At 37.7% G+C, this 26,288-nt stretch overlaps 1 protein-coding gene across 4 annotated transcripts in view, besides 1 other annotated feature; it reads right to left on the minus strand.

Moving 5' to 3' along the window:
• Positions 1-26,288, minus strand: part of FBXL17 (F-box and leucine rich repeat protein 17) — a 523,064-nt gene that overhangs the window by 218,005 nt on the left and 278,771 nt on the right. The window lies entirely within an intron of this gene.
• Positions 1,118-2,000: an enhancer, noted in NCBI's record as "OCT4-NANOG hESC enhancer chr5:107413858-107414740 (GRCh37/hg19 assembly coordinates)". NCBI's record gives its function as "activates a minimal SCP1, AML or CMV promoter by ChIP-STARR-seq in primed H9 embryonic stem cells {active_cell/tissue: H9 hESC(primed)}" and the evidence as "EXISTENCE:reporter gene assay evidence [ECO:0000049][PMID:30033119]".

Genomic DNA, 26,288 nt, shown 5'->3' on the forward strand with positions numbered 1-26,288 from the left:
AGGTCCAGGAACCTCAAGTTATTTTGGGACCTCAAAAAAAGAGGAATTCACCCAATTCATACAGGTATTGCAAGCAAAGTCTGATGGTAAATACTTGGCTTGACTTCCTAGCCTCACTGATATCAAAAGTCTAATCTGAGATTCCTTACGCATTTTCCTTATGAAAATCTTTTAGTAAAGCTGATTTAAAAGAGCCCACACGATCAATCAATATTCTTGATGCAAATAGGCCAAGTATGATAAGACTAAAATTTATTTTGCAAATAAGTTAATCCTACTATGATTTTCTCTGGTAGAAATGGGGGGCTGGAGGAAAAAATTGTGTTTCAAAAGAAAATTATAGGCTAGGAATGATGGCTCATGCCTGTAATCCCAGAACACTGGGAGGCCAAGGCAAGAGGATCACTTGAGCCCAGGAGTTTTAGACCAGCCTAGGTAACAAATGAAACCCCATCTCTACAAAAAATCAAAAAATTAACCAGATGTGGTAGCATGTGCCTATGGTCCCAGCTACATATGAGGCTGAGGCAGGAGGATCCCTTGAGCCCAGGAGGTTGAGGATGCAGTGAGCCATGTTCATACCACTGCACTCCAGCCTGGTTAACAAGGCAAGATCCTATCTCAAAAAAAAAAAAAAATGAAAAAAATGAAAATGATAGTATACCCATTTTTGGATTGTCCGTTGTTTTTGAGTTTTTATTATTTGTCTACAATTTGGACTGAATCCTGAATTGTTTCCTGGGTACAAGTCTCCAAATTAACATTTTCAAATTTTTCTTCCATTTCTTCTAACTTAGAATCACTAAGAATCACTAAGAAATTAAAACTGTGCTTTTCTTAAAGCCCTGAAAATGGAAGCTAAACAACTTAAATGAACTTCAGGAGAACGCACACCAACTTACATATAAGCAGCCTTCATGTCTGTTTTGCTGTATAGGCTACTCAGAAAGTTCACTTAAACACCTGATTAAAACTACAATCCAGAAAAATACCTCAGAGGCGCTAGAAAAACTAGTCTATAGACTACTCCAGACATTAACCTTTGTTTTTCTTATGTTTCTACAGAAATGCCTCTTGTTAAAAATCTGTTTGCCTACATCATATATACAGGCCTCGCCCATCTGCAATGCCACCACATGGGCTGGGACACAGCTGTTCAACTGAACTAATCTATGCTCAGGAGTAAGAGACTGATTCAAGAAGATATGAGATGATATACTTAAATTTGCTGTTTTTTGCTTATCTCAAGTTGTTTTCCCATTCCTTTGTCCATCTCTAACAACCTCTAACCCAAATCTCTCCAAAGGTATCAGCTTGGTTGTCATATGTGAAACTTTTTAAAGTTTCAAAGTGGGAACTGAAAGAAATCAAAATATTTTACTCCAAAATATATTTCTTTGACATATTTTGAGATGACTGTCAGAAAGCCAGCAAACAGAAGTGGCCCTGCAAAGCTGTCTTTTGTGAGGGAAATTTGCATCTGTAGAGAATCTACATTGATGCCAGCGGGCCTTCTCTAGCTGGGATCTCGGAAAGATTAACCCAGAGTTTGACACCTTAAAGATCTGAAAGAAGCATTTACTCTCTATTTTCTCCGAGAGCTGCTATCTGTGAGGTTTCATCTATATAAAAAGACTACCTTTGCTAGCTAAGGCTTCCTCTTTTCTCCCTCCCATAACCTGCCTTGCCACTATGACCTGATTTATCACCATTACTTGTTTTTGGCTATGCTCTGAGCCTCCATTCTTTCTGTAACCTCAAGATATTAATAGTATATAAGCTTCTGTACTCCACTACGGGGTTAGGTAATCACTGTGTGATGTTCCCTGTGTCCAGATTAATAAACTGTATGCCTTTTCTCTTATTTGTTCATTTACTTATTACTAGAGATGGATCACACTCTGTTGCTCATGCTGCAGTGCAGTGGCACAATCAGCTCACTACAGCCTTAATCTTCCAGCCTTGAACGATCTAATTTTTTTTTTTCCCTGTAGAGACAGGGTCTCACTATGTGGTCCAGGCTGGTCTCAAACTCCTGGGCTCAAGTGATCCTCCTGCCTCAGCCTCCCAAAGGGGTGGGATTATGGGCATGAGTCACCAGGCCTAACCTCTCTTTCTTTTTTTTTTTTTTTATTAATCTGCCTTTTGTGAGTTGATTTTTTTAGCCAACCTTCAGAGGAAAAAGAAGGCCCCTATAAATGCTTATTAGAAAGCTAGGTGATTCTTAATGAGACCAGTGGGAAACTTTTACTGAGTATCTAGACTATGTTGCTGAAAAATAGTTGTGTAATAATGGAGCAAAGTGATCCTGAAACTCTCTCAAGGGTTTTTTTAGAATTTTTGACATATTTCTGAAATAGGACGTCTGAAGATACAATTCCTGACTACTGATTAAAATAAAATTAGAAATAATAATGTATTTGAGGTTGTATGATATGATGAAAGACACTGGGTAGAGTTTCAATACTGTTAAAGACAAAACATACTTTACATATGTTTTAATCCTCTGTATTATACAAGGACCAGAAGAAGTATTGGAGAAAAATAAAATACCTTCAAACTAAAAAAATCCCATTATTAACCTCTGCTTAAAAAGTTAAATGTGTAATTATAGGCTCACTGGGAAAACATAACCAATGTAGTTATAAAAAAATTGTATGGTTATTTTGTGGGTGCCAGCAATGAGGTTTTAAGGATTATTTCACAGGGGGTTTAGAAGTAGCAATTGTGAAGTATTTTAGGTTGCATAAAACAGGCTTGTCTCATGTTAACTACCCAGCAATTGCAATGGGCCTAATTTACACAATAATTTCTTAGAAGTTACTCTTTTGAAATGCACTGTGTGATTAACTGACTTGGCTTCAAAAATGGAATGTTGTTTCTACATTTTTGTTCACTTCAACCTAATGCCCCCTAGAGCACAGATCCAATTAAGAATTAAGGCAGGGAGGCAGGCAGATATTAAGCACAGTGTTTCTGTATTACACAGTGCTTTTGTATAGGATTGAACACCACCACCTACTGTCTGGAGGCACTAGATTTATTCAGTGTATCCCTGTGACACTGTGAATATGGCTGATGGAAACCCATGAATATGAGTTAAAGCAAATATCTTAGCAAAGAACTACAACCAGATAAATTTACCTTACAGCAAAATTTTTGGTGCTTTTTAAAATAAAAGCCTATCTACACCTAAAAACTTAATTTTCACATAGAAATACAAAGGATAATAACCTGTTCTATTAATTATTTATATCTGCAGTAAGAATAGAATTTTCCTCTGAAATTAATGTTTTCAACCAAATTGCCATCACGGAAACAATTCTTATGTTTCAACAGCATTTACATTTCCCATCTTGTTCAGAAGTCATGCACTTTGTTAGTAGAGGCGAGATCTGTAATCAGTAGAGTCATATACCAAAATTCATGTTATTGATGAAAAAGAGTCAAACTCTGTAAAATATTTGAAGGAATATATTTTGAGCCAAGTATGAGTGACCAAGGTCTAAGGCACAGTCTCAAGAGGTCGTGAAAACATGTGCCCAAGGTGGCTGGGTTACAGCTTGAGTGTATACAGAAGTTACAGGCAGACATCAATCAATATATGTAAGGTACACATACATTGGTTCAGTCTGAAAAGGCAAGATAACTGGAAGTGGGGGTTTCCAGGTCTTGGTGGATTCAAATATTTTCTGATTGGCAATTGGTTGAAGGAGTTAAATTATTATCTAACGACATGGAATCAGTAGAAAAGAGTATCTGAGTTAAGATAAGGGGTCCTGGGGACCAAGGTTCTTATTATGTAGATGAAGCCTCCAAGTAGCAGGTTTCAGAGAAAATAGATGCTAAATGTCTCTTACCAGACCTAAAAAGGTGCCAGACTCTTAGTTAATCTCTCCTGGATCAGAAGGAAACCTGGAAAGGGAAAGGGATTCTCTACAGAATGCAGATTTTCTTCATAAAAGACAGCCTTGTAAGGGCATTTCAAAATACGTCAAAGAAATATATTTTGGGGTAAAATTCTGACCAAGCCCTGCTATCTGTCATGTCAAACTGACTCTACACTAGAGTCAGTTTGGAATTTGGTATCTTATTGCAACAAAGAGTCAGTTTTTTCAGTCTTAAGATCTCTTTTTTAGTGTTAATGCTGGTCAGTTGTGCCTGAATTCCAAAAGGAGGAGAGTATAATGAGGCACATCCGACTCCTCCTTCCCATAACAGCCTGAATTAGATTTTCAGATTTACTTTGGAATCTCCTTGGCGGAAAGGAAGGATCGATTCAGTTGGTTGGGGAGCCTGGAATTTTATTTTTCATTTTACAATGTGAACACAGCATTTATATTTTGAGAAGTTAGGGTTCCTTACCATTAAGACTGCTTCTTCTAAGATAAGAGCCAGTAGGCCGGGCACGGTGGCTCAAGCCTGTAATCCCAGCACTTTGGGAGGCCAAGGAGAGCGGATCACGAGGTCAGGAAATCGAGACCATCCTGGCTAACACGGTGAAACCCCGTCTCTACTAAAAATACAAAAAAAAGTAGCCGGCCGTGGTGGCAGGCGTCTGTAGTCCCAGCTACTCGGGAGGCTGAGGCAGGAGAATGGCGTGAACCCGGGAGGCGGAGCTTGCAGTGAGCCGAGATCGTGCCACTGCATTCCAGCCTGGGCGACAGAGTGAGACTCTGTCTCAAAAAATAAATAAATAAAAAATAAGAGCCAGTAACAGGATCTCCTTACAACCACATGTTCAAATATTATTCAAGCTTTGCTTCACACATAAATGTCCAAGTCATTCCTCCAGCCCCACTCCACCTGCTCTCATCCAGCTTCCCTCCCGCTTCTACTCTCTCCGAGTAAATTTCTAGACTGCTGACTCAGCTGAACATCACCTAAGCCCATTACTCTGGGCTGCAAGTTCATCAAGAAGGAAAGAGTTAAGCCTAACTCTCAACTCTTCATAGAGCATAGATAAGGCCTCCAATATTGTTACGAGGGCAGAAGCCTAGTAGTTGAGAAAACATGGAACCAAGAAGTGCACAGACTCAACTATAATCCTACCTCTATCCTGACACTATGACCTTTGGAAAGTTACTCAGTGTCTCTGAGCCAGTTATATATTTACATACGAGGATACATGAAAAATAAGAAGGATTATTACAGAGGATTTATTAAATCCCCTCTGGTAAAAAAAAAAAAATGCTAATGCTGTAATGTGGAAAGAGCAGCAGTTGAACCAAGGACAGGCTCAGATCTCCTGGGTTTAAATCTCAGCTAGATCACTTCCTAGCAATATGACTGTGGGTCTCTGATTTCTTCTCTCTAGCATGGTGATACACCTCATAGCATTGTTATAAAAATTAAATGAGTCAATATTATCAATAAGTGCTTAGAATAACAGCTGACACATATCAAGTGCTCAATATATGTTTGTTATTGTCATTGTTATTCTAAAAATTTCCAGTGACATACAGGTGTAAGCAGCCACCTGACATGCTGCCTCTATTTCCCAGTAGACAACATTTTACAAAGTAGCAGGCTCTTCTGTTTTTTCAACTTTTCTTTTTTCCAGTCCTGGAAATAATCCTTTATAACTGCAAAGTGTGGTAGAACATGAACCCCAATGACAGTCCAGAGTGATCATCTACAAATCCCATTTTTAAAGCATCAAAATAATAATAATAGTAATAATCAAAAAATTATAACATTATTGTTTTGTTTCCAGTCCCTTTTGTAGAATTTATTTCCTCATCTTTGAACAGACTGAACTTTGCTGTGATCATATGTTTGGCCAAAAGAGATATAAAAAGATTGTAGAACTAAAGTGAAAATAGTTGAATTCTTCCAATAACTGGAGGTAAGTGGAGCCTTTCAGTAGGAGTTGGATAATAAAATTTGTAATTTAAAGAAATGTACTTTTCAATCAGCTATTTACATTTGTTTAAGAAAGCAATGTTGTGTAGCAGTATTGCTGAAATGTTATAGAATTAATGCATTATTTTGCTGTTGTCCATGACTGAAGAGGGGAAGATATAAGAAAACTGAAAAATTATAACCCCCAAATAATCAATATTTAAGAAGGTGTAAAATAGTAAAAATATTTAATGTGAAAAATATCTACCTAATACAAGGAAAATAAAGCAAGAAACAATCCATCTCCATGGCTTCTCCCTCACCCTCACCTCAGAACACACACACACACACACACACACACACACACAGAGAGAGAGATAGACAGATATATTAAGACAGCAGCTTCTTTTATCATGCACAGAGGAATAAAATATTTTCCATTCCTTCCTTAGCTCCATGTAAACTCACAAAACACTGCTCTCTAGGGTTTTCCAACTTGTGAAACAAAGCATCCATCCCAGAGTTTGTTTGTTTTAAGACAAGGTCTTGCTTTGTCACCCAGGCTGGAGTGCAGTAGTGTGATCTCAGTTCAGTGCAACCTCCGCCACCCAGGCTCAAGCCATTCTCGCATCTCAGCCTCCTGATTAGCTGGGACACAGGTGCATCCCACCATATTTTTTGTGGCTAATTTTTTTTTTTTTTTTGGTAGAGACAGGGTTTTACCATGTTGCTCAGGTTAGCCTTGAACTTCTGGCCTTAAACAATCCACCTGCCTTGGCCTCCCAAAGTGCTGAGATTACAGGCATGAGCCACCATGCCTGGCAGTCTCAGAGTTTATGAAACCATTAAACTATAGATGGCTTAAAGCATACTGGAAATGTAAATGTTCTCATAAAGTATGATTAAACATGACCAAAAAAACATATGGCATAACAGCAACAAAACAGAGCAGACAGCTGTATACAGGGACCTGGGCCTGGAATCCTTACTATGTCTCCACAGCTTGGAGACTGGTGCTCAGCATCATCAATATGAAGGATCTGACTGACACCTAAGCTAGGAGGGAAAACAAAAGAAACTTTGAAAATGTAAAATAGTTTCCGACTGATTTTCATAAGAAAGCTGGAAAGCTCAGTGTGTTTAATCGTTTTTACTTAGCAAAGAATTTATCTTTCATATTCTTATAAAGTGGCTTTCTTCTGTGTTATCAGTAAAAACTAACACTGACCTTCCTCTTGGAAGGTTAAACTTCTAGCTTGTGTTTGAAACGCTAGAGTGCCTTTTCTCAGAAGAAATGCTACATATACGTGCCGCAAGCAATGAAAAAGAATACACCATCTCTCCGACCCTTCATTAGTCAGAGGATCTTGGCAACAGCAATGCTGCTTGTGTACGGTCTCTGCATGAAAAACTGTTTTCAAAGGTAACCTTGCCAAGGGCTATGTTCTGTCTTGGCAAAAGGAAGCAAACTTTACTTATCTACCAATCGGTTTGCTCTGCATGAGAAACAGGTGTTAAGGTATGAAACGGGGCTAGGAGCAGTAGCAAAATAAAACTCACCCAAAATAAGTTTCATCTGGAAAAAACACACAACTCAGAGATAATAAGCCTGCAGGGCCAACATGTTTTTGCAAAATGCAAATCATGAAAACTGGTTAAGGGATTAAATGCTCTTTTGCAAAAATGACCATGGAGATTATAATCATTAATTAAATTCATGTAAATAATTTTCTGAAAGAACTCTCCTTTTTTATCTCATAGGTTTCAAACAGTCTAATGGTAAAAAGGTTTAGTCTCAGAAGAGATTCTCTAATTAAAACTAGAAATCTGGTATAATTAATAAGTGTCAGCCTGCAATCTCAACCACTTAGTAAAGGCAGAGAAATCAAATGCTGATGTTTTGTAAAAAACCTAATAAAATCTCCAAGAAAATGAAATTTTTATAGGGTCTACTTCCCATCAATACAATAGGTGTCCCAGATGGGACTAGAAACTTCTTAAAGTAGATAAATATTTTAACACTTACAATTCCTATATGCCAGTTTTATTTGTTTTTCTTTTCTCTTTGGAGTTGTAACTCAACCCAAAAGAAAGCTTTCAATGATTTAACTTGGGTTTACATTTTTGAATTATCTAAGCTCCCTGATTCTTTCACTTTTTTTCCTCATTATCTTCACCCAGAGGTGAACCAGAGCAAAAAAGACAAGATGAAAGTCAAACATATCAATTTCAAATTTTGATTACATAGTCTTGCATAGTTCCTCCTTCCTTTCACTGGATGTCCAACTGTACGACAGCTTTAGTGTTTATAAGTTTAATTTTAACCACAAGTAACAGTTCAAAGAACAAAGATAACTGGTTTTTAGTAACTAAGTTTTTGGTTTGCAGCTTGGTCTAGAGTTCTGCCCATACAGGTAAGGTAAACTGATTATTATCTGACAACAACACAGCCAGAGGCATTTTCCAAAAATCCATTTCACATTGTTTGTTGGTGGCCTCCCCTCCCTATGCAACAGCCCCTGACTTCTACTGGGAAACCAAGGGATTCCAGGAAAAGTTGACTCCACTGGTGGCTCCAAGAATAGATGGCTGAGCGTAGGCTAAGCTAATTATTCTTCTTTACCTCTGCCACTATTTGAACCCCATGTGGTCCAGGCTGAGCTTATCTCCGGACTGTGCCTGAACACTGTGTGCCGTTGGGGCTCAGAACATGACACCTCAGTGTATGGTACCTTGGCATACTGAATACTTTGAACAACAGAACACTGGGGCTAGGTGTGGTGGCTCATGCCTGTAATCCAAGCACACTGGGAGGCAGAGACAAGTGGATGGCTTGAGTCCAGGAGTTTGAGACCAGCCTGGGCAACATGGCAAAACCCGGTCTCAACAAAAAATACAAAAAAATTAGCTGGATGTAGTGGCATGCGCCTGTAGTCCCAGCTACTTGGGAGGATCACTTGAGACTGGGAGGCAATGGCTGCAGTGATCCGAGATTATGGCACTGCACTCCAGCCTGGGTGACACAGTTAGATGCTGTCTCAGTAATAATAATAACAATAGTAAAGAACATTGGAAGAGCCTTAGAAGCAAGGTCTTTCTGACTTTCTTCCCTTCTCATATCCCCTGCCCCTTTTTTCTGCCCCTACCAAAATCATTCATAGAAATCAGAATTTCTTTCCACCATGGAAGATCATAGAAACTGGAATTCCTCAATCCCAGACCGTAAAAACCTAGAGAGGTCACAGTCTCCCTTCTCCCTTGAAGATCCTCATTCCAGAGAAGTCCTGCCCCATAATTCCTCAATCCCAGACAGTAAAAACCTAGAAAGGTCACAGTCTCCCTTCTCCCTTGAAGATCCTCATTCCAGAGAAGTCCTGCCCCATAATCGGGAGGAAAAAATGGTACACAAAGAGGCCGGGAAAAATCTAAACAGACAGGCCTTGGTGGGTCCACCTACCCTCTCATCTATTACCATTAGATCATAGCCTTTTGTCCAATCACATTTCTACATAGCTGTCTATTCTTCATCAAACCTAAGCATAAAAATAGACAGTTTTCCCTGGGTTTGTGGGTCTTGATTTCTGAAGGCTCCATGTCACATAAAGCATTAATTAAATAAATTTGTTTTTTCTCGTGTTAACCTGACTTTTTTAATAGGAATGTTGGCTGTGACTGTCTTTGTTTTTGTTTTTTGAGATAGAGTTTCACTCTGTTGCCCAGGCTGGAGTGCAGTGGCATGATCTCCGATCACTGCGACCTCCGCCTCCTGGGTTCAAGTGATTCTCCTGCCTCAGCCTTCCAAGAAGCTGTGATTACAGGCGCATATGCCACCACACCCAGCTAATTTTTGTATTTTTAGTAGAGTAGGGGTTTCACCATGTTTGCCAGGCTGGTCTCGAGCCCCTGACCTCAAGTGATCCACCCGCCTCGGCCTCCCAAAGTGCTGGGATTACAGGTGTAAGCTACCGCACCCCGCCAGCTGTGACTCTTACAATGTGTGAGGAAAGGAATCACACCCTTTCACCACTACCGTGGCATACCACCAGATGGTCTTTCCTTTCCTGGACTGGCTGGTATGCAGATGTGGGGCCTCAGTCACCTTGCTACCAACAGAGAGGCCGGCCTGCAGCAAGAGCAAACTGAATAGGACATACGCTTTCCATACACTGTCCATGCACTGAATAGGACAAGGTCCAGAACACTCTGGTGAATGGAGCTGGAGCTGATGGATTGAGGAAATTCTGAAACCTACCCAACCTCTGAGCCTCTGTTTATATGAGCCTATCAAGGCCTTGACTTGGTAAGTGCGAGTTGTTGCTTTTGTTACTTGTAACATAAAAGATCCAAACCAATTTAAATGTATACAAGGTATTCAACTCAATTACTTGGAAGATTACAATATACTGTGGTAGAGACAGATGCACTGCTCAGATCCCTCTTCAAAGTAAGGACTTGCAGCCAACTACAGGGTGGGGCAGCAGCCAGCCTATTCCGAACAGCAGCCTGCAACAGCCACTGAGTGAGGCGGAGCATAAACATCCATCCATGTCAACCCAAAGCAGGACACTCCAACAGGGAATATATGCTTGAGGGCTCCTGTTGGGTTGGCCAACACATCTTTGTGACCGCATCAAAGTTTGAATTTTACCTCTGTTCAATCCTCCTTCTTTCATACTTTCTTCTATGGAGGTTGACGCCTAGTAAACATCTTATACCCCAATCTCGATCTCAGTGTCTGCTTCCAAAGAATCCAACAGTAACAAAACATCTCTGTCCTTTTTCATATTATAACACACTTTCACATTATAAAAACATAAGCAGAAAAAAAAAGCAATTAAATACATATGAGAAACCACATGTAAACAAACAAAATGCCCCATCTCTCCCCTTTTCAACCCTCCTTTGATAACACTCTAGCCACATATAGAACAAATGTTGGTGAGGCAGAAAGGCATTATTTAATAAATTGAAGTAATACAATTAAGTTTGCTGGAAACCTACTTAAAATTGAAAAGGCTTTGAGCAATGTATTTCTCATGAGTCACCAGTTTCGCTTTTTTTAAAAAACAAAAATTGTAAATGTTGGAACAAGAACCTTTTTCTTATTATTGCCCGTTTTTATTAAAGGGGATTTCATGTATAATCTGGGTAAGATTTAAATATATAGATGATGGGAAATAGATATTTTCAATCAAAATTTGCTGTGAAGCAAATTTCTTTTAAGTGATTCCATTTTTAATTAACTGCCATTATAAACCTGGAGATCAATTGAACAATGAAAAGATCACACCTGGGATTGTAGGTTTTCTTTACAACTAATATATTTAAAGGTATAAAGAACTTTGATAATAATTTAGGGATTCTAGTCTCACTGCCTCATCAAAACATTTCTTGCTGTGGTCACCAAAGACATTCAATTCACAAAATCCATGGACATTCATCAATCTCTTTTTGTTGACTTTTCTAAAGCATTATTGTTCCCTTGACACTTCTCTTCCTTTGACTTCTACCACACTAAACTTTTCTAGTTTTATTCCCATTTTTCTGCTTCTCCTCTGTATACTTTCCAGCACTCTGGGAGGCCAAGTCGGGGGGAACATGAGGTCAGGAGATCGAGACCATCCTGGCTAACACAGTAAAACCCCATCTCTACTAAAAATGCAAAAAATTATCTGGGCATGGTGGCACGCACCTGTAGTCTCAGCTACTCAGGAGACTGATGCAGGAGAATCGCTTAAACTTGGGAGGTGGAGGTTGCAGTGAGCCGAGATTGTGCCACTGCACTCCAGCCTGGCCGACAGAGCGAGACTCTATCTCAAAAAAAAAAAAAAAAAAAAAAAAAAAAAAAAAAAAAAAGATACCTGTATATCTTGGTCCAAGGCCTCTATCCCTTCTCACTCTATTAGCAATCTCTGGTGTTCTCAGCCATACTCATGGCTCTAAAGCAGCACTTATCAACAGATTACTAATACACAGATAAGCATAGTTCACTTATACACAGATAACTCACATAACATTTCAAATGGATGCCTCAAAGGCACCTCAAATTCCACCTGCCAAAGAGTGAACTTTTGACAGGCCTCCTCCCAAATTGCCTATCTCAGAGAATGGTGCTGCTATTCATCCTGTAAAGAAAAACCAAAACCAAATAGTTTTACGTAAAATCCCTCTTTCCTTCACTGTCTCCCCATATTCAAATCCATCAAGTTCTGTTGGCACAGCCTCCAAAAGGTATTCTGAATTTATGTACTTTTCCCTATCCCTATTGGTGCTATCATAAAACGAAATGCTCTCATCTCTCACTTGGACTGCAATGGCCTTCTAACTGGTCTTGCGAGCCAGTTAGAATTTGTGCCCCTTGTTTAAAACATTGCAGTGTTGCTGCTTTTGGGGTAAAGACCAAAAATCTTAATATGGCTACAAGGCCAGACATCTTCTGGCTTTTGCCTCAATTTCCATCCACACTAATCTCTTCCTTTTTCCTATACCTGGCCACAGGAGCTGATTTTCACTCTTAACTCCTACCATGGACCTTTAGCACCTATATTTCCTTCTAACCCAAATGCTCACCACTCTCCCATACCATCCCCAGAATAACCCCTGCTTCTTCCTTAAATCTCTTCTTAATCTCTACCTCCTCAGGGAAGATCCTCATGGTCCTCTGATTCTGGACCTGCTCACATCCTTGATGTCAATTATAGGCTTTCCTAGGAAAATTCTGTATTTGTTTGTGATTATTTGAGAAACCTCCTTCTTCCCCATAGACGGTAAGTTCCTAAAAGGGCTGAGACCCACAGCTTTTTTCCCCTTGTTTAGTTTTTGTTTTGTTCACCATTATAACTGAGGTTCCTGACAAACTGCCTCATACACAATAGGCACTCAAGAGATATTTGTTAAAAGAATGACCAAAGAGTTAAATAAATATAAGTAAAATGCTTTTGTTGTTGTTGTTGTTTTGTATTGAGACAGGGTCTCACTTTGTCACCCAGGCTGGAGTACAGTGGCACAAACACGGCTCACTGTAGACTCGACCTCCTGGGCTCAAGCAATCTTCCCATCTCAGCCTCCCAAGGAGCTGGGACTGCAGGTGTGTGCCACTATACCCAGCTAATTTTTGCGTTTTTTGTAGAGATGGGGTTTAGCCATGTTGATCAAGGCTGGTCTTGAACTCCCAAGCTCAAGCAATCTACCCGCCTTGGCCTCCCAAAGTGCTGCGATTACAGGTGTGAGCCACCATGCCCAGCCAAAATTGAATGTTTTAATAAGCTTAATCATAACATAAAGAAATAATTAGTAACATGTATCATCACTAAATAATCTGAGTAGATAAAATCTCCTGTTTTGACAAATTATAGACATCTTAAAAATGCTTCCCATGTATGAATTTGATTATGGCATACCACATGGGAGCCATTCACCCTCAGTCTTCCACATTTTCTCCCTTGTATTTCCCTTCATTGTGTGGACCTTCCTTAGCCTACCCAAATAGCCTGAATCAAGACCACCCTTTCACAATGCCTTCCCTGGCTTCAGCATTTAATGGTCCCCCCTTTTTTTCCACCATAATATTTCTTATGGAAGAGGTTGGCAAATTTTTTCTGTAAAAAGCTTGATAGTAAATAATTTAGGCTTTGCAGGCTATATGGTCTCTATCACAACTACTGTGCTCAGCCACTGTAGCAGAAAAGCATTTGTAAACAATATGTAAGTGAATGAACATGGGTGTGTTCCAATAAAATTTAATTTATAGGTAATTAACTAGAATTCCATATAATTTTCATATCATGATAAGTTATCTTTCTTTTTTAAAAATTTATTTCAACCTTTGAAAATATAAAAGTCAGTTTTAGCATGTGGGCCATACAAAAACAGGCGTTGGCCAGATTTGGCCAATGGACTAGGTGGTTTGTTGACCCTCTATCTCACAAGACTTACCGGGGTTTCTCAGAGCACATACCTTGGAAAGTTAGTTTTACTTGAGGATATTTTAAGGGGTTTTCAAATGCCTGGTTGTATTTTATAGGTTAAACATGAATACATAGTCACTATCATCTCTTTTTGTATACTAAAATAACCAATTATTTAACTTGTGCCACTAAGTTTTTGTTGTTGTTGTTTCCTCTGTTGGGTGTGCGTGGGGGTGCTGCTTAAAAGAAACTCTTCTTGCCCTCTTATTTAACTGAAGACTATCACAATGTGACGTTAGCAGAGCAAGCTGTTAAAACGAAACAAAACCTTACAACATACAACCACTTATCTGTGTGAATCAAAATTCTTCTCTACAATATGCAGCCTGAACAAAATACAGAAACAAAGTGAAAGCTGAGGCTAATGACATGTTGCCATGGCTATCCAAAGCACATAATATATAAGTAATACCAACAACAGTATTTAACATTTATTGAGTCCTTCCCACAGACCAGTCCCTTTGCTACTTAAAAACGGCCTCATTTCCTGAATAATTTCTTGAGTAAATGTTATAAACATTTGAACTTGCATGACAAAATTACAGTAACAAAAGATCGCATTTCTCTGTTTTCTATGTTGGTGTTGTGCACGCACTTTGATTTGGAAAGGGAGCTCTGCTTTTACTTTTTCCTTTAATACACCACCCATTTGGGTACTTTATTGCATGTTTCTTATTATTATTTCTTTATTGCATGTTTCTTTTTTATTATTTGCTTCTCTGCTGTTTGTTTTATATGAACCTTGCTTTTTCTCTAAGTAGGTTGTTACATATGTTTCTTGAGAATGGGAATCAGGCCTTATACTTTCCCCCTACTTCTTACACACACAGCACATACCCTCTACACTCCACTAAAACAAAGCTTAGCACAGCAGGACCCTAGGAAATGAACTGCTGCTTACAGAAGTGAATTTTTAACTTAATTTGTGAATTCCTTAAATTTGCATTTTGCTTAAATGCATTTCACTGAAACTGAGGTACACGTAAGAATTCTTCTAAATTTTTAATATGCTGTAATCTTTACATTATGTTGTAGATTAGAATAACATGTGGATAGCAAAATGAAATATTTAGTTTTAGTAACAGTAAAATAATATATAACAGCATGTTTTCTTTGTTAATTTAGGTGTTATACACCTTTGCCTGGTAAACACAATATCTTTCCTCTGTTTATTTTCTGGCATTAGCTTTGGCGCTGTCCTGTAATCTGCCAGGCTGAGGAAAATATTACTTTACATACTAAAACTTAATGGACTGCACCACCAAAAATTAACTAGTGTCATTGTTGTAATTAAAGATCAGAGAAGCTCTTCAAAGCCTCCTCCTAGTATGCTGGACCAGTGGAGATCTGGACTTTTTCAAACGACCCTTAGCGATCCAGAGAAAGGTGGATACAATGAGAGTAGATAACACTTGGCCTTCAGAAATTAGAGAGTGAGGCTGGAGCTGAATGAGTCTCTTTATTAGTTTTTTTTAGGCAGGGTCTCACTCCTGTTGCACAGGTTGGAGTGCAGTGGTGTGATCATGGCTCACAGCCTGGACTTCCTGGGCTCAGATGATTCTCAGCCTCCCGAGTAGGAACTATGGTTCCTACTCACATACATCACAGGTACTTGCCACCACACCTGGCTAATTTTTGTAGTTTTAGTAGATATGGGGTTTTGCCATGTTGTCCAGGCTGATCTTAAACTCCTGGGCTCAAGCAATCTGCCCACCTCAGTCTCCCAACTGCTGGGATTACAGACGTTGAGCCACTGTGCCTGGCAAGTGGGTGTATCTTTATGTAAATATGGAATTAACAAAATTTGGAGTTGTTTTCTATTGCCAAGAATCATTTATAGGTCTCATTAAATGCTTTCCCCAAAATGAGAACACAAGCAGCCTTTTTCAATTACACACCTGAGGGATGAATGTTTCCCAAAGGGAACAGAATGAAAATAAGCAGTAACTACTGAATTTGTGCATACTGTTAAGATGTATGACATATTTTCAGAATTTGGTTATTTTTGTTTTGTTTTGAGGAAAGAAAGGACAATGAATGGAGAGAGTGACTATGGTATACTCTCTTCGATTCCTATATTATATAAACATATAATCAATGTGTGAAATAATTACACAGAAAATTGGCAATAGAGAGGGAGAATAAAACACTTCTAAACCATTCACTTAGACCAATAACAAAATTTAACAATTAATATTTTAACTTTATACCTGTGCAGACCTCTTTTTTCACCACTCTATCCCTCCCCCCATACATGCATCATGCATACTTCCAAGCACCCTTCCAGAGAATATATTAAAATTCAATGTTTATAATTAATTAACATAAAAGCTGGTAATTAGTTTACTATTAAAAAATGCCATTTTCTGTATTTTATGTGCCATAACCTACTGTTATTATAATGTTCCCACTAAAAATTTTAATCTACTTAAAAAAAAAAAAAGAGTAGTTTGTTGCAGACGGTTATGTTCCCCTGGAACTACTGCCCCCTTGAGTTCTATAAGAAAACTCAGTCCTGCACCACCCCTCACTGCATTTTGTCAGTAAATTACCAATGAAAAACAAAACTTTATGAGGAACCATAGTTGACTTCACTGATGTGGAGCATTAAAACGATTACTACTAAAGAAGATTTCCTTTGAATTTCTAATAAGAAACTGCTCTTGAAAAGCTGAAAAGGTAATTTACACTACTAGATATTCCCTAAGGGTCACCAATGAAAAAGTATTTTATCATACAGTGTTTACTGCCTTAGAAGAATTTCCTTTTCTACCTATTCAAGTTCACAATTCTACACTGACAGTTTTTAACATCTTCTGATTTAGTCATTTTATTGCATTTATATCGGCAAAGATTATACGCAGACCTCAGAATTAAGTGGGTAGGTCTAAGGGTAAGTACAATAGAATAAGATTTAAAATCTTTAACTCAGCGGGGTGTCTATGTTTTATTCTAATGCTTAAATTTATTTCAAGATGTAATGTAAATGTATGATAATGTACAAAGAAACAGTGTGATTTTTAAAAATCAAAGTCATTAAATACTTAGAAAACCACAGATTCAGGATGTTGGAGCTTGAACACATCTGCATGTACTATTATAAGCCTTAATTTTAGACGTCTGTATTCACTTTTGTAGTTTCTTGATCACTTGATGTTCTAAAATAATAGCATAAAGTCTATGGATTAAAAATCAAAATCTGCACCTCCACATAGTGTGCTCTCTGAGTGCTGCACAGTTAAAAAGTCTCGAGCTCTTAAACTTTAAATGGTTACTTTACTGGAACACAGGCACAAAACGCAATCTATAGCTCATAGTAGTGTGTGCTCTTTTCAGTCATTGTTTTGTACAAATTAAGCTCCCTTGACCATTTAGTTAATCAAAAAGCAAAGGTAGAACATGAGGGAAAAGCTCTTCTGCACAAATTATGAAATCATCATTCTGATAAAAAGGGACAAAATTATGTATCTTTGTATACCTTATATCCAGAAACTTGTTCAAACTCTGGTATACAAAGGAGGGGTGACTATTAGGTGAACAGGTTTCCTTCATACAAATGCCAGCAGGACAAGTGTTGAACACCATGTAACCATTTTGCATTATTTGGAGAAGAAATCCAGAAAACTTTTCCATATTCACATCCATTCCATCTCTCTCCAATATATTTAAAGAATACTGAAACTATTTTTAAACTTCACTCTGCTCATTCACATGAACAACATTTACAACTTCCCCATTCATGTACAAAAACAGGTCTGTGGACAAATAACATAAAGTTGCAAATGTGTTCCTACTATTTTATGAAAGAAAGGTCTTTTTGTAATTGAAAATAGATTCCTTTCAAAATCTGCAAAGGGCCCCCATAGTCTGCTCTAAAAATGTTATTGTCTAAACCATTTCTGGGACTAATTATTACATTATTTACTATGATTAGGAATCTCATGGAGGCTGAAGCAAAAATAAAAATGACTTTAGAAGCCTAAATTTTGAGAGGTTATATCAAAATTGACAGGAACAAGGATGCAAAAAAAAAAAATAAATGAGTGACCTTCTATGAAAAAATAAACTGTTTATCTTGGCAAGCCTATTTCTTATGCATTTTATCAGAGCACTTCAAAATTGGTAGGGAAGCAATCATCACACTGAGGAAAAAACTTGCTTCTCTGGCCAAATATGATAAGTGATATATTTAGCTCTTCTACTTTGTATATAAGTGAGTCCTCTTAAAAAGCAAATAAGCCATTTACAACATTCATTTAAAAATCATAACGTAATATATTTACATTTGGGGAGGCTCATGAATTTTTCTTCCTATTAATGGTAAGCATTTTCCATGTGTCCATCAGAATTCTACTTTTAAAGGTCCCAAATCAACTTTTATAAATACCATCAAATGGTTAAAAAAAAAAAATTTTACCTACAATATGAAAATAAAGAACTGAGAACAGATATCGGTGGGAACCTCAGATGCTTTCTCACTTAATATGTGGTATTTATTTAACCTTTACCATACAGGAAGAAAGAGAGGGGATGATATTTATGTCCACTGTGTGGAGAAACTCAATCTAAATAAAATTTAAATAAAGTATTTTAGTAAGCTATTAACAAAGAAATTATTGAAGAAGTCTCTTCTAGTCCTAACCTCATATACTGTATAGGGTAGATCAGTTGAGTAGCTAATTAAATAAATTAACAAAATATTTTAGAGCATCTGTTTTGATAATTTATTGACAATTTAGATAATTTTTGATTCTTCAACAAATCTTAACAATATTTGGTGTATTAGGAACATATAATGTGTTAGGAACCCATTATGTACAATTTAGCACTTTTATTATTAGAGACAATAAATGGCAAATTTACTTACAATTTATTCATAATAAGAACTAATATGATGATAAATGGCATCATTCACAGAGTTTTCAACAGAACAAAATGACACAAATTCGATTGTTTGAAAAGAACTAGGAAATTTTATGAAGAGAACTGTCTTCTCAGAAGTAAGAAAAACTGATAAATCAATTTCCTAGACAGGTAAGATCATTGCAAGACATGGACATACTCTCTATGCCAAAACACAACTTCTAAAAACATAGATAAAATTGTTCTGTAAGTTTAAAATTCTAAGGAGCTAAAACTGCTCTAAATCTGTTTAAACAGCATGATTACCATATCAATCTAGTTATCTTCCTAGATATAGATTCAATGTTTTAAAACTGTTATACGCTTGTTTGCAATTCCATAAAGCTAAGGAGTCCAAAAAAAGTGAATGATTACTGCAACACAAAATACTCTGATTTTGTTCATAAATGTTAGTTATCCTTTGCATATGTACTGAAGTGGCAATTTATTTAGGCATGAAGAGTCCACACACGGAGCATTAGCAAAATGATTTTTCAGCTCAGTAAGAAGCCATTAATTCATTATCAATAACATTGATCCTGTGCAAATAGAAAATATAGTGTTTTTCAGACATGAGCATAACAGCTCTCAATTTAGGCAGTTAACCACATAGGACGATCTTAGTGTTACAAGGCCCATTTTCTCCAGAATGTCTTTGGTGGCAGTTCAAAATCAATACCAAACGTATGGAAGATGCCCCAAAAGACCACTGGAAAATGTGCTTAGTTACCCTGGAGTAAGAGAACATGATTGACAAGCAAGGGAAAGTGTAATGGGACACAGAGAAGGAGAATATAGTCAAGCTTTCTTGCACTCATTGGCTCAACTTGGGATGAGTCAAATTATCCAGAAGTAAACTCCAGAAGAACAAGAATTTGGCATTAAGCAGACAAAAACAATAAGATCAGCTTTTCTTATTTGTGGGGTGTGGGATACATGCAACAAATGTGCCTGGATGGCCAGTGAGTATGGAAGGAAAAGGATCAAGAAACAAGGAGCTGTCTGAGCAATGGGAGGACAGTATGAAGCTCTGGGTTAAGGAGGGCAGGCCTCATAAGAATGGATGAAAGGCAAGAGAAGTATGTCAAACATAAGCATCCTGCTTTGGGCTTTGCACTGGAAGTTAAAAGTCCCCTATGGTGTGTTGAAGAGTGAAAGAGTGGTACACATGTAAAGGCACATGCATGGGGCATTTAGCTAGTTTACTGATGGGCCTAGTAGAACTAAGGTTATACATATATTAATATGGTTTGGCTCTGTGTCCCCATCCAAATCTCATCTCAAATTGTAATCCCAAGGTGTCAAGGGAGGGGCCTGGTGGGAGGTGAATGGATCATGGGGGCAGTTTCTCCCATGCTGTTTTCATGATAGTGAGTTCTCAGAAGATCTGCTGGTTTTATAAACGGCAGTTTCACCTGTGTGTTCACACTCTCTCTCTACCTTTCTAGCCGCCTTGTGAAGAATGTGCCTGCTTCACCCTCCCCACGATTGTAAGTTTCCTGAGGCCTCCCCAGCTGTGTGGAACTGTGAGTCAATTAAACCTCCTTTGTTTATAAATTAACCAGTCTCAGGTAGTATCTTTCTGGCATTGTGAAAATGGACTAATACATATATATTACTTGGACAAAAGCCTGCCACTATGAAAGTTGGACATAGCTCTAACATTCTAGTTTTTAACAAAAGAACTAAGCAATTCATTTTTGCATGACTGACTCTTTGTTGATATTCTGATCTCAACTTAAAGATTATACCTTCAGGCTGGGAGTGGTGGCTCACGCCTGTAATCCCAGCACTTTGGGAGGTGGGGGTGGGCAGATCACGAGGTAAGGAGTTCGAGACCAGCCTGACCAACATGGTGAAACCCCGTCTCTACTAAAAACACAAAAATTAGCCGGGCGTGGTGGTGCACGCCTGTAATCCCAGCTACTCAGGAGCCTGGGGCAGGAGAATCATTTGAACCCGGGAGGCGGAAGCTGCAGTGAGAAAAGATCATGCCACCGTACTCCAGACTGGAAGACAGAGCGAGACTCCAGAAAAAAAAAAAAAATTATATCTTCAGAGGTGTCTTTCCTGACTACCTAGTGTCTCTCTTTCCATAACATCATGCTACCATAATTCTCTGAATAACATTTTATACTGTCTAACAGGTTTCTTATTTATCTATCCAAATAACATTTTATATTGTCTAACAGGTTTTATATTTATCTGTCCACAACCCCTATAATGTAAGCTCCATGACAGCAGAAAGCTTGTCTATTATTCACTACTAGATCTCCTAGAAGAAGCTCATAGTACACACTTCTTAAATGAATAATGAATGAGCAAATGGACAAGCATATGGTCAGATGGATGGAAACATAGTGACTTCAGTAAAACTTCAATAAATATCTGATGATCATCTTCTAAAAAAAAACAGAAATCTAATCTGGGCTATCATATACTGCAAAGATGATTTTCCTGTCTATCTGCAACAGTCTATGAATCATAGTTTTTTTCCTAATAAATGTTTTGATTTCTTAAAGAAGGGTAGCTTGAACTCAGATGGTGAAGGCTGCAGTGAGCCATGATCATGCCACTGTACTCCAGCCTGAGCCACAGAGTGAGACCCCGTCTGAAAATAAATAAATAAAAATAAAGGCTTTGATTTCACCTCCTTTCAACTTTTTGGGTCAACTTGCCACAAAAAGCAGTATTAAAAAAAATACTTTTCATGCCGGGTGCAGTGGCTCATGCCTATAATCCCAGCACTTTGGGAGGCCGAGGCGGGTGGATCACGAGGTCAGGAGATCGAGACCATCCTGGCTAACACGGTCAAACCCCGTCTCTACTAAAAATACAAAAAATTAGCCGGGCGTGGTGGTGAGCATCTGTAGTCCCAGCTACTCGGGAGGCTGAGGCAGGAAAATGGCGTGAACCCGGGAGGCGGCGCTTGCAATGAGCCAAGATCGTGCTGCTGCACTCCAGCCTGGGCAACAGAGCGACACTCTGTCTCATAAAAAAAAAAAAAAAAAAAAATTCTCAAATGGAATGCCATCAAACTTTCCAAGCTGAAAAAAAATATATACTTTAAACGTTTTCATATGGCAGAAGTAAATGACTGTAAACATGAATATATCATGTTTACATGTTGATATCATGTTTATCATCACTAATAACTTCTTAGCTAGGATGTAGCATTCTTCAGAGAATATAAGATCAGTTACTTAGGCTCTGAATTGCTATATTCAAGAAAATACTAAAAGTAGCAATAGATAAGAGCAGAGTCATTAAAGACTCATCCTGCTTACTCAATAGTTACCAGCAACTACTTTATATTCCCATTGCCTAGAATACTAACATTAATGGCCTCATTAGAGTAAAGCTTTTCCAGTGGGAATCCACCAAGATATGCCCATCCCCCAACTAAGCAATAATATAACTACATTTTTTTTAAAAACCTGAACTTTAATATAGTTGATTAATGGTTGAACTAAGCCAAAGAAAAAGTATAAAATAGCTGATAATGTGATACTGGGTACATAGAACATTGTAGGGGGGCAGTATTTTGCCTCTATCCTCTTAGTTTTCTTAGGCTAGGCCTGAGAATTAAACTAACCAAAGACAGATCAAAAAGAGAAAAGCAAACAAATTAATTTAATATAAGTTTTACATGGCACAGGAGACTTCATAGGAAAACGAAGACCCAAAGATGCAGTTAGAGTTGAACACTTAGATATTGATTTATAGACAAAAGATTAGAAAAAATCAGACAAAAAGCAGTAAACTGTGAAAATGTGACAAGGCAAAGAGGCTTGGGCTAGAGTGTTTTGGGTAGAGAAGGGACTAGGAAGATGAAGGTTCATGTTTGTACAGATTTTCCTTGGCCTCAACTTACCATCCTAGATATGAATGATACTTTCCTTCTGGTATAGGGAGGGAGGACATATTTCACATGGAAATTTCATCCACTGCTTTTACAAAACAGAAGGAAGGTCAGAGTGATCTTCTTGCCCCTGCTGTTTATCAAGTGCCTTTACCTCAAAATAGTTAATATGCCAGAATGGCATGTTTGAGGATGGCATATTCTTAACTCCTGCTTCATCTTTCATTCTCTTAACTGACACTTTATTAATCAAAATGTTTCCAACACCATAATGGTATGATAAATCATAACCATAAGAATCCAACCATTTTCTTGATCTTTTCACAGAAATTAGGTTGTCTGGTGTGGGTTTACTGCTATGTATTCCAATATAGTAATGTTTTTAGCATTGTTTGCCTGTGAATAACCTATATTAGAAATTAAACTATCCCAATTATCTCAATGACCTAAGCATTTCAGGTATCATACTATTTATAGTATGATTTTTATATCCACATTCACAGCTAGCATTCTAAATGCAATCACTGGAGTAAAAATAGATTATTTACAATTGTATTATTTGCATAGCATACAAATTTTTAAAGATTCTAAAGTACCTTAGATCTTTGGACTCTGTTTCTTTAACAAGAAAACATTTCATCCTATGAAACCATCAGTCTGAACCATCAGAAAAAAGTTTTTAACTTTTAATTATAAAAAATTTCCAACATCTAAAAAGTAGAGGGAATAGTATAAGAATGTGCATGTATGCATCACCCAGGTCAACAATGAATTCATGGCTAATCTTATTTCCTTTACATGCTGACCTATTTATCCTTACATCAAACTGTTTCTAAGCAAATCCCAAAAATTATGTTGTTATTATGTAAGTATTTCAACATGTATTTCTAAAAGATCTTCAGATTTTAAATACTTGCATAATGTAGGTTCTTGATCATTTTATTTAACTCTTTATACCCTACCAGGAGGCTGGTTTTATAACACAGAATTAAAATATGCTTTAGAAGAACTCCTAGGAGACTCTTCTTGATAATTTACAATATCAACAGCATATGTTTCTATTACCCAAATATTCCTGGCTTCTTCAGGTACTTTCTGGCAGACTCTGACTATAAAATTTTTGTTCTGTTTTTAAGAGTAAAAATTAGAAAAGGCAAGTTATAATGTCATAGCTTTAATGATCTCTAGAGCTTAGTTTTCCTCCTTTTCTTTGCTTTCAAGGGGGAACTGCCCATAAGAAGATCAATTCATTCCTGGAATTGAGATGTACTGAGACAAATTTAGACATTTCACTACAAATACAGATGGAGCTGTAAACAAAAAAGATCAGAACATCAGAAATTCTGCAGCAAAAAAAAATTTGTGATTACCACAGCTTTCAGAGGGAAGACCTTTTGAGGGGAGAAACAGTGAATGTCTACACTGCTGTCCAGCTTAAAGAGTTTGCTCTTCAAGTCTTTGGACTTAAATTTCAGAGAGCTCCCAAATAAAAGAGTAGAGCTATGCCATTTTTACATCAGCCACTTGTTTCTGGGCATACTCAGAGGAGAGGCATTGAAGAACCTCTTCAGAGCTTTGCTTTCAAAGTTTAATTATGAATGGAATAGCATAGCAGGAAGACAGAGAAATTCAATGTGTGTACATAGACCTCTGTCCACAAGCCAAGATTTTATTTCCAAAGGAACACAGGGCCTTCTCATTGAACAATGCCATGGTTAGCTCATCATACTGACACAGGGCCTGTGCCAGGACATTTAAGCCTTTCGATGTTCCACTATTCATTACTCCCTGATGCTTGCCAAAGACCAGACTGAGCCCATTCAGTATAAACTTAGTGCTGGGCCCAATCAAAGGAGGTCAAGGAAAACATGAACAAGTGTTTTGTATGCAGAATACAGTCACTGGCAATGTCTATTAATGTAACAGTTCTCAGCTAATTCCTCTCATTTAGAAAATGGCTTTTGAACTAAATTGAGTTACCTCTGTGCCTTATTTCAACACTAAGAGATACAAAAAGAGGAGAAAATGTTTATAATTAGCCATTTTAAAATATACTTTGTGATAGTAATTTCCCAAGCAATCTTCTCCCACGCTTCTCAATAGTGCATGGGCAGGGAAAAGTATTGGACAAAAAGTACCAACTTTTAATTACCACCTACACTAATCTGTGGCTTTTATTTTAACTAACAAAAATGTTTCAAAGCTACTAAAAATACAGAATTGACTGTACAGGGCATGCCACTTAAGTTTGGGAGAAATGCTAAGGATATACTTTGCAAAAAGTTCAAAGTAGACATCACAGAAGCAAAAAACTCCTTGAGAAAGTGGCACATTTGACAGAGACCTGTGTGAATGGGTTCACAGGTTCCCAGGGTGGCTGCACTCCAGGACTAGGGCAATTGGTGCGGCAGGGAATTTAAGTGGCTGGGGCCCAAGTGAGATGAGCTGAATTCGTTTCGGCAGCTTGTACTCTGCCCCAAGAAAGAAGGATTAAATACAGCTCTGAGAGAGAGATGGCAATTAGTGTTTCTGTCTCCAAAGAGAGAGATTCATGGAGTCTGAATCTGGAGAGATACAGAGGGCACAGGAGAGCCTGGTCCCAAAACAAAAACTCAGAAGTGACTTAGCACTATTTTTAAATGCTAAAATCTTCAGTTCCGTATCTGTTTTCAGTATCAAATTAAGAATATAACTTATTACAAATTTTAATTTTCTTTTACTAAAAATGACTTTATGTCTATCATATTTTTAGAACTGAGGTAGCCAAACCATGAGTTTGGAAGGTAGCCAAATTCATGGTTCCAATCAGACAGACCTGAATTTTAATTCTGATTTCACCACTAACTGAGATCTCGGCAAATTGCTTAAACCTTTGTGAGATACCGATTCCTTATTTACACAATGAAAATAATGCCTACATTATTGCATTTAAAGTGTGTGTAGCGGTGGGGTGGGGTATCTCCATTTTAGCTTAGGCTACTCTGTTGGTCAGAAGGGCTCCAGACCACAGCAACTGTGTTACTTTTGGCTTCTCTTTTGTTTTGCTTTCATTTAAGTTCACCATTGCACAATGGTGTGTGTAGATATACAGTACAAAATCAATGCAAGACAAAAACCTTTATGAAAAGATACTTCTGCAAACACACACTCAGAAATAATGCCTCCATGTGTGTCATTAATGTTTAACCATCTAAAGAATTCCTGGCAGAATAAATATATAAATAATATATCTTATAAGATAGAGAAATCTTAAGACAAAGCAATTTTCTCATGGCATTTTTTTCTGCCAATAACATTTATTATTCTAAACACTGTAAAGCATAGTTGACAAACTAAAAGATATAACATCAACTAACAGCACAAGGTAAAATATGTTATAAACACCACAGTGAAGCTAATCAGAGTGGGGGATGATATTTGCCATAAGAATTACTGGGTACTTTGAAAATATGTATAACATCTTGTGAAGCTTTAGGACTATTCCATTTTTCTGTCTCTAAAGGTTTTATTTTATGTGAGCCAGTTAATCTGTCTTTGCTCTGCTTAAAACCATCAGCTGTGAATTCACTTGGGTAGAATTTGGAAAGCAATCAGAGCAAAAGAGACCCATTTCATCAGCTTTATACAATTATGCAAAAGGTAACCTGTATTCAGTAATGCAACTTCTAAAAGTTCAGGAAACTTCCTGCAGCTTACGGTTTTAAGCTGCAGCC

The sequence above is a fragment of the Homo sapiens genome, chromosome 5 (assembly GCF_000001405.40).
Source record: "Homo sapiens chromosome 5, GRCh38.p14 Primary Assembly".
Taxonomy (NCBI): Eukaryota; Metazoa; Chordata; class Mammalia; order Primates; family Hominidae; genus Homo; species Homo sapiens.